Here is a 9265-nt window from a genome sequence, read left to right as displayed (position 1 = left end):
CCTTGTCAACCTCCTGAAGCAAACCCTAAATTTTTTACTTTATTTTATTTGATTGAATGTTGATGATCTATAACTGCATATATTTATGAGCTACAAAGTGATGCTATGATACCATATGGAATGATTGAATCAAGCCAATTAACATATCCATCATATCAAACATTTATACCTCCTAACTGAAACACTGTCTTCCTTGACCAGTATTTCCCCATTTCCACCAGCCCCCAGCTTCTGTTAACTACCATTCCACTCTCTGTTTCTATGAGTTTCATTGTTTTAGATTACACATAGAGTGAGAACATGTGGTATTTCTCTTCCTGTGCCTCGCTTACTTCACTTAGCATAATGTCCTTCACGTACATCCCTGTTGTTGCAAATGACAGAATTTCTCTCTTATTAAGGTGAATAGTTGTTTTCCATTGTGCATATGTACTACATTTTATTTATCTATTTATTTGTTGATGGACACTTAGGTCCATTCCACAACTTAGCTAACTCTCTTTTCCAGCCCAGGCTTATGATGTCTCCCTGTTCCTCAGTGTTTGCATAATGATGGATTAAAAAAATTACAATAACAGGTGACATTTGGTGGAAAGAGGACTGTAGCTAGAGACATAACATATGGATAGATGTCCTAGATCTGTCAATTAGAAGCTGCATAACTTTAAGCATATAATTTTTTGTGCTATGGTGGCTTTGAGTAAAAAAGAAAAAAAAAGTTTGCTAAGAATGGGAGGTCTTATAGGAACTTCAGTTTACTCTTCTATAAAATGTGATTTTTAAAATTCTCAATTTAGGGTGAAGAGAGAGTTCTTGGGAGGTGCTGTTATGAGATGAAATTCTGTATGTGAAGTACCAGTACAACCTTGGCACATTACAGTTCAGTGGAACTCAGAGGTTTTCTCCAGGGGGGGGTCTATGAATGCCATGATTAGTTAGCCAAGATCCCTGTCTTCGTGGACTGTACCTTCTAGAGACTGTGTCGGTTATTTGGAGGAGTAACTGAAATAACATACTTCAAAGTGCTTGGTAAACTAAAGACTTTTTCATGTGTTGTTTTTTAAATTAAAATGTCCTCTCAAAAATATAACTTCAGGCTTGTACATTTATCAGATGTCAGTCCTCTTCACTTGTGGTAATTTCATACAGAGTAATAACAAAATTGCTGAGAGATTCAAAATCCAAATATAGAAGGCAGCAGTTGCTTATTTAATGCAATGAAATGCTAATCCTTGCATTTTTTATTGTTTTATTTGTTTTAGTCTTTATAATCCCAAGTATAGTGCTAAGTCTTTTGGAAATAAGAAAGAAACTAAAAGAATATATCTATTTTTAGCTTTCTGCTAAGCTATTTCTTGCTCTCCTGTAGTTATTCCAAAATTGGTTGCAGTTTTATTTAAATAATTCTAAGAGGAAAAAAATAAACTTGTAAAATAGAATATTAAATGCACACTACCAAATTTAATTGATTTTTAATGCAAATATAAGTAGTACAGGCCATGCTAAACGTTTATTACCAACTGTTTGCAAAACAATCTGTTTACCCCATTCCGAGCTTCAACCTGCCTTAGACCCTGCTCAGGTAGCCCGACACCCAAAGAGGGCAAGATAGGCTTCCTCCCACAACACTCAGGCTGCCTGTTGGCTCAGCTGGGGCCACCCATTGTCTGGCTAATGGAATCCTGGAACCCAGCCAGAGCTGCAGCCTGCTTGCGAGGTTTAGTTCTGTTTTTGTTTTTAATGATCACACACATTTTGGCCTAAACTGCAAACAGAAGATAGTGGGGCGGGAGTGGGGCGGTGGTGGGGAAGAGGGGCGGGAGTGTAGTCTTATTTTATTTAGAAGAGGAAATCCAAAAAAGTGAGCTCTGAATACAGTTTTTTATGTTGTAAGAAATAAGTTTAGGTAAATGATTGAAATCGAAAACATGGCAAAGAAAGAAAGAAAAAATGGAAGAAGCCCAGCATCTCAAATTGTATCACAACAAACTGTCAGAAATATCACCAATAAATACACAGCCTTATGAGTAGACTCAAATTTTTAAATTACCAAAAATAAAAAAGTCAGCCTGGGCTGGGTACAGGGGCTCATGCCTGTAATCCCAGCACTTTGGGAGGATGAGGTGGGCAGATCACGAGGTCAGGAGTTCGAGACCAGCCTGGCCAACGTGGTGAAACCCCATCTCTACTAAAAATACAAAAATTAGCCGGGCGTGGTGGCATGTGCCTGTAATTCCAGCTACTCTGGAGGCAGAGGCAGGAGAATCACTTGAACACGGGAGGCAGAGGCTGCAGTGAGCCAAGATCACACCATTGCACTCCAGCCTGGGCGACACGAGCGAAACTGTCTCAAAATAAAATAACAAAAAATAAGGCCTGAAAATAAAAAGGGTTTTAATTTTGCTTACAATTTCTAGACTTTTTAAAGTTTTATGAACAGTTATTCTTTAAACTACATTCATGGTGTTTGTGTGCGTGTGTGTATACAATTTAATCACATCAAAGAATTCACATAGATGAAAACTCTAAGAAATTACCTTCCAAAGATGATGTCAGCAAGTGAAGAGGGAGTGTACATAGCTGCTTGTTTTTTAGTAAACTACAATTTAAGAGTCCTGAAAGGCAGATGGCTGGCTGTCAGGAAATGAGCTTAGTCAAAGGAAATGGGAGATGTCTGGTTCAGGGGATTTGAGGAAGGCTATTACCAATGGGTGCTTTTATTTTGCTTTCCACTCTAAGTCAGGATACATGCTTTGTTGTTCCCATGTACGAAAAAGAAATACCAAGGTGATAAGATAACATCTGGGACAGTACAGGGCTCCAAGTTTCTCTATTATATATAGAAAGCTGTTCACTTGCATCTTTCTTGGTTTGGGCCAAAACACTATGCTGGAAGAGGAGGGGAATATTAATAATGGGTTGAGCACTGATGAGAGATTGAAGCTGGGCAACTATTCTCTGGTCTAGGAATTTGGAATTGAGACACTGAAAGGCCACATTGAATCATCTGCCAGGATTTTCACAGACAGGCCAGATTCACAGGGACGTGTGATGGTGTGTCAGTGGTAGCTGAAACCCCCTACAATCCATCCCAAATTAATACACGGTCTAATTTAAAACAGTCAGCTCGCAGCTTCTGTACAAGTCCTATAACACTCCAACTACAACTACCACAAATTTTTGTTCTTTTACGCTTCCTATATGGAAATGTTTATAGGAAATTAGTCTCCAGAGACCGAAGAATATAGCAGACACACGTGGAGAAGCTGGGACAAAAAATCATGTAGCTCTAGGGAGGGAGAAAAACAGAGAGTCACTTCCTGACAAATGTCCAGTTCGCGTGAGGCCAGCTATATGTGCTGCACTTTTCTTTCATGAGAGTCCCCAGGGTGCTTACAAGAAAATTCCCAAAGCAGGTTGTGTGGGAGTTTGTAGCATGCAACCTAATAATTTCTCACCAAAACATAGATGGGACTTAGAATGAATGAGACAAAATATACTTGGAAGTGTTTTCACTAGGGAAAAACCTGTGGCTGAAGACAAGGATGTAATACCACTTTTCCAGAGTTTAGTAGTTAGTTGGCCTTAACAAAACTGGGATGCATCTTATCTCCAAGACTGAGCCATAGCCACATTCCTTGCGTTTTGTGTTACCTCCTCTGGAGGAGCCAGCAGATTTTGCCTATCTCTGGAAGTTCCAATTATTACAAGAGACTAGCATGAGTTCTAGAACTGCTCTCCCTTTGGGCTCTACTCCAAAACTGAACTTCATTAATACCTTAAAGCCCACATCCACCCATCTTCCCTTTCTCATTCACTCCATCCTACCCCACCCTGCATTAAAACTTACATTTACTCAAGAAAGCTGATTTCAGCTTACTGGTAGAAGGAAAACTATTGAAAAAAAGGTTCAGTTTAAGCTAAATAGTGGCAACAAGTGTTAACCCTTTCAGGCAAATTAAACAGCTTTAAGTGGCTTGTAAAGCCAAAGGAGCAAATTTCTATTGATGAAATTTCTATGGAGATAGTTTTGGTCGAGGCCTTCTCTCGTTTTATACTGTGCACAAAAATTGACTATTTTGTTCTGAACAAAGGCAACTCTAAGTAGACTTATGACTTAATGGAAGCAGTACTTCGATGACATGATACCTTCAAGGAAGGCCACCTTCCCAATAGGTGGAGGGAGGTGTGGAGTAGTGGAGAAAGCCAACCAAAGAGGAGTCCACTGATGCTACCTGGGCTTGAGGAGGGGTTGGGGGAGCTGCAGCAGATACGATAAGTGATGGGTCATTTTTAAAATCAGCCACTTGGATACAAAGTTGATCTGCTTTAAATGATTTAAAGTAAATCACTTGAGGATAAAAGCAGTGAGGCACCCTGGAAAGAGAACAGTCCCTACAGTTAGGAAGAAACACCAGACCCCACAATTTACTGTACAAGGGACTCTGGACACATTATTTAACCAAACCTAACCTGATAGGCAGTTTCTTCATTTCAAAAATACATAATTAGAAGATTTGAGATAGCTTGCTGCGTATATTAGACACTCAATAAATTGAAATATATAAAATAATTACTTACTATGTATATCCTGGGGGAAGAGCTAATGTCAGAGGCACAGTGAAGTAATGGTGACCTAGGGCTCGATTTTTCTCTCTTCATATTTTCTATCTAGCAGCTGGTTAGCAGTTATTACCAGAATTAACAACTTCAACAAATTCTACTTCTTCAACAAACTCTTCTTCTGACTCTAACTACAGCAACCTTTCTTTCTCTCTTTCTTTTCTTTCTTTCTTTTTCTGTCTCTCTTTCTTTCTTTCCTTCTTTCAAAACTTAAGTGTAGATAGAAATGAGCTATTTATAGCCACTACACTAGGCTGAAAATCTTGGAACCAATGTGGGTGCTGGGATGGGCCTCCAAGATTCAAGCCAATGTTAAAGGTGTATAACTAATTAAGAGGCTGGGTTCTAATAAATTACCCATTTATTTCAGCTGTGTGGGAGTAGCTATGGGGGTAAATAAAGGGGGTAAATAAGCATCAAAATGAGGAAAGGTGCAGCTGTTGACAATCTGATGACCTGCTTCAAGTCAGAAAGAAAAAGGTAAAGATTTTCTTTGCAATTAAAAAATAAGAAATTGCTGGGTGTGGTGACATATGCCGGTAGTCCAAGCTACTCAGGCGCCTGAGGCAGGAGAATCGCTTGAGCCCAAGAGTTCAAGGCTGCAGAGAGTGATGATTGCATCACTGCACTCCTGCCTGGACAACAAAGGGAGACCCCATCTCTTAAAAAAAAAAAAAAAACGAATAAGAAAGAAAACTTAAAATGATCTAAGGAGTCTTGATAACATCAATACCATAGACCTCAAATTTTCTATTAGTTTACAGAGTTATCAATTACATATTTATAGGCTATCATATTGAAAAGTAACAAAGGGCAGACAATGATTAAATACATTTTATAAAATATTTAGTCCTTCTATCCAAATAAAACTTAATATCCCTTTTCAAGTTTAATAATATGTCTGAAAGCAGTTTTGTCATATTAAGTAGAAGTAACATACCATACAGGATTAAGAAATGTTTTTATAATTAAGAACACTCAATTTTATTGAATGAATAATTTATTTATTGGACATCAAAAATGTATCATTTCTGGGAACTTATTTTCTAGGAAAAATTTTGCAGATGTAAATATTTCTCCGATAGAAATCTCAGAATTTTTAGAACATTGTTCAGTTATTTTTACTTAATCCTAGTACACATCTAATATCCAAAGTGAGACTCTACAGAAAATACAATCATTATTTAAGACAGAATATGCAAAGTAGAAATGGGAAATGATTAATACATTGAACATCATATTCATTCAGTCAATGAATATTATCAAATGTCTTCTATGTGCCAGGCACTGGGGAAAAACAACCATGAAGAAGACAGATATGTTCCTCACCATCAAAGTGGAATATAGGAATAATGGCCAAAGAACAAAATTACAATTGTAATAATTGGTATAAAAAGGTAAGAAGGAGAAACTGAATTCAAAGGAAGTAGCCCATCATAATAAAGTGTTTTTTTCTCCTAAAATCTATGAAATACTATGCAGGCCTAGATGCAAAGGAGAGAATGGTCCACTCAAGTAACAAAAGAAATCCAGAATTGCTGGAGGGAAAAAATCAAAAGAAAGAGTAGTGAAAAATGGTAGTGGGACTTTAAACTGTGGCTAAACAACCATACGGGATCGCAAAAGCCATATAAAGGTCAATCCACTGGGCTCTTTTTATCTGAGGGTTCTGTATCCATGCATTCAACCAATGAGGATAGAAAATATTTGGAAAAATTTTAAAAACAAAAATACAACAATAAAAATAATACAAATTTAAAATACAGTATGACAACTATTTATATAGCATTTACCTTGAATTAGCAATCTAGAAATGATTGAAATTATACAGGAGGATGTGCATAGGTTATATGCAAATACTATACCATTTTATATAAGGGACTCAAGCACCTGCAGATTTTGGTATCCATGGGTGTCAGGAATAGGGGAGAGGTACTATAACCACTACCCAAAGGATACCAAGGAACCACTGTAGTTTAAAGACATTAAAAGCCATCGAAGGCTAGGCATGGTGGCTCACGCCTGTAATCCCACCACTTCGGGTGGCCCAACCGGGTGGATCTCCTGAGGTCAGGAGTTTGAGACCAGCCTGACCAATATGGCAAAACCCCATCTCCACTAAAAATACAAAAATTAGCTATGCGTAGTGGCGCATGCCTGTAATCTAAGCTACTCGGGAGGCTGAGGCAGAAGAATGACTTGAACCCAGGAGGCAGAGGTTGCAGTGAACCGAGATCGCGTCACTGCACTCCAGCCTGCGCGATGGAGACTGCTTAAAAAAAAAAAAAAAAAAAAAAAAAAAAGGCTGGGCGCGGTGGCGCACGGCTGTTAATTCCAGCACTTTGGGAGGCCGAGGCAGGTGGATCACGAGGTCAGGAGTTCGAGACAAGCCCGACCAACATAGTGAAACCCTGTTTCTACTAAAAATACAAAATTAGCTGGGCATGGTGGTGCATGCCTGTAATCCCAGTTACTCGGGAGGCTGAGGCAGGAGAATCACTTGAACCTGGGAGACGGAAGTTGCAGTAAGCCGAGATCATGCCATCGCACTCCAGCCTGGGCAACAAGAGCAAAACTCTATCTCAAAAAAAAAAAAAAAGCCATTGTAGGGTTTTTAAGAAAAGTATGATGATTTGATTTGCATATTTAAGGATCACTGTCACTGAGTGGCTGATGGGCAGAAGGGGAGTAGCAGTGGTTCATAAAAATTTATTGTGAGCTTCTTGTGTGTCCCATACATTACAAAGAGATTTACATTAATTACCTATGTAACTCATCTTAAAATCCTTTGAGGTAGATACTATTTTATCCCACCCTCATAGAAGAAGAAACTAAGGTTAAACAAGTTTTGACAAACAGATATTTTAAAACCTAAAAGTCAGACTCAGAGCCCATACTTAATTACCATTAAGAAGATGAATTAGAAGCCTATTACAGAAATTCTGGCTGAGAAAACTGTGGCTTACACTAGAGGGTATGTAGTGGGGTTGGAAAGAAGTGGAAAGATTCAAGAGATATTACACGCATTCTGGTGCTAGAGCAGAGGGAGGGAAGAGGAAGGAGATGGCTGTCCCTAGGTTTGAGCATTTGGGTAGAAGCTGCTTCGTTTAAGAAATACTTAGCAGAGAAGTATACAAATTTTACGTTTGAACACTTTGCCTGAGAAACTTCCAGAGGAAAATGCCAAAGAGGCTGTTGGCTATATGGGTTGGGAATACAACAGTGCAGTCTGGGACACAGACATAAATTTAAAAATCTTCAGCAAATGCATAGTGTTTGAAGATACAGGAGAGGAAGAAATTTCTACGGCCACAATTTTCAAATGTAGTGTGTTGAAGACTCACTTAAAGAACTTGTTAAAAATGCAAATCCATGATCTCATCTCCCTCAAATACTAAGTATTCTTACTCTGCATGTTTCCAGGAAAAGGAAGGCAAGTAATTCTTATGCAGTTGGTTAGTTAATCTTTGAACAAATGAGGTAAAGAGAGAATGAGATAAAAAGAGGCAGTAGGACAGGGCCTGATGAACTCTAAAAAGATAAGTATATGAGAAATACTCAGCAAAATATATAGAAAAAAGAGCAGCCAGAATGATAGGAAGAACAGAGATGAGAATTGTGTCAAGAAATTTAAGCCAAGAGAGTGTATTTATAGGAGGAAGTTGGCAATAGTGTCAAATGCTGACATCTTAGCAGCATTTCTGAGCCAACTCTCTTCTTGGCCCTGAGGATCCCAAAAAGAACATGATATACCCACAGTTACGGGGGAGATACAACTACATCATACTAGGCACTAATTTTTATGTTGTATACATTTTATTTTACTTAAAACTTATATAGACTTATGTTTACTTACACTTGTAATATAGCTGTTATTATCTGTATTATTTATAGATAAAAATGAGGTTTACTGAGATTATATTTCTGGGTTGATATTAGTAAATGGCAGACTCATAATTCAAGCCCAGATCTGTCTGATTCCAGTGGCAATGCTCTTCTCAGCTATTGAGTATCACATTGCCTTTTACTATTGTGTCAGAGCACGTACAAGATGTTGAGGAAACATAAAGGAGGAACACATTACTCAGAAAGGTGGATACAGAAGTGTCAGGGAAGGTTGCACATCAACTGAGCCTTGAATGAGAAGAAATTGGCCAATCATACGAGAGTGGGAAGGGGTTCCAGTAAAGCAGTATGAGCAGGCAGTGCTGGAAAGAGAGAGCATCAACTTCAGGGAACTTCTGAAGCACAGGCTTCATGTAAGGGAGATAGGAGATCTGAGGGGGAATAAGTGAAGGTAGGAACTTTATCTTAAAGAGGAATCATCTAAGTATTTCGAACATGGGACTGTCTAGGGCGGATTTGTATAGAAAATTTATGGCAACAGTGTGAAGGATGAATTTGAGGAAAAGGAGGAGAGTAATCACAGGCAGACCAAGTGAGAGCCTCGCCAGTGATTGAAAATAGAAAAAAAGACCAGGCGCGGTGGCTCACACCTGTAATCCCAGCACTTTGGGAGGCCAAGGCAGGTGTATCACCTGAGGTCAGGAGTTTGAGAACAACCTGGCCAACATGGCGAAACCCTGTCCCTACTAAAAATACAAAAATTAGCCAGGCATGGTGGTAAGCGCCTGTAATTCCA

The 9265-nt window shown here is 38.7% G+C and overlaps 3 annotated features.

The window, feature by feature from the left end:
* Positions 1370 to 1893: an enhancer, noted in NCBI's record as "OCT4-NANOG hESC enhancer chr7:12768729-12769252 (GRCh37/hg19 assembly coordinates)". NCBI's record gives its function as "activates a minimal SCP1, AML or CMV promoter by ChIP-STARR-seq in primed H9 embryonic stem cells {active_cell/tissue: H9 hESC(primed)}" and the evidence as "EXISTENCE:reporter gene assay evidence [ECO:0000049][PMID:30033119]".
* Positions 7882 to 8282: a transcriptional cis regulatory region, noted in NCBI's record as "candidate enhancer chr7.1000 targeted for multiplex CRISPR interference". NCBI's record gives its function as "positively regulates ARL4A gene expression with high confidence in K562 cells {active_cell/tissue: K562}" and the evidence as "EXISTENCE:mutant phenotype evidence [ECO:0000015][PMID:30612741]".
* Positions 7919 to 8213: an enhancer, noted in NCBI's record as "tiled region #4524; K562 Activating DNase matched - State 5:Enh". NCBI's record gives its function as "activates a minimal TATA promoter and a strong SV40 promoter by Sharpr-MPRA in K562 cells {active_cell/tissue: K562}" and the evidence as "EXISTENCE:reporter gene assay evidence [ECO:0000049][PMID:27701403]".

Source organism: Homo sapiens, chromosome 7 (assembly GCF_000001405.40).
Source record: "Homo sapiens chromosome 7, GRCh38.p14 Primary Assembly".
In the NCBI taxonomy this organism is placed as follows: domain Eukaryota; kingdom Metazoa; phylum Chordata; class Mammalia; order Primates; family Hominidae; genus Homo; species Homo sapiens.
Note: the sequence above shows the minus strand (reverse complement) of the source record. Positions and strands in the feature narration are given on the sequence as shown.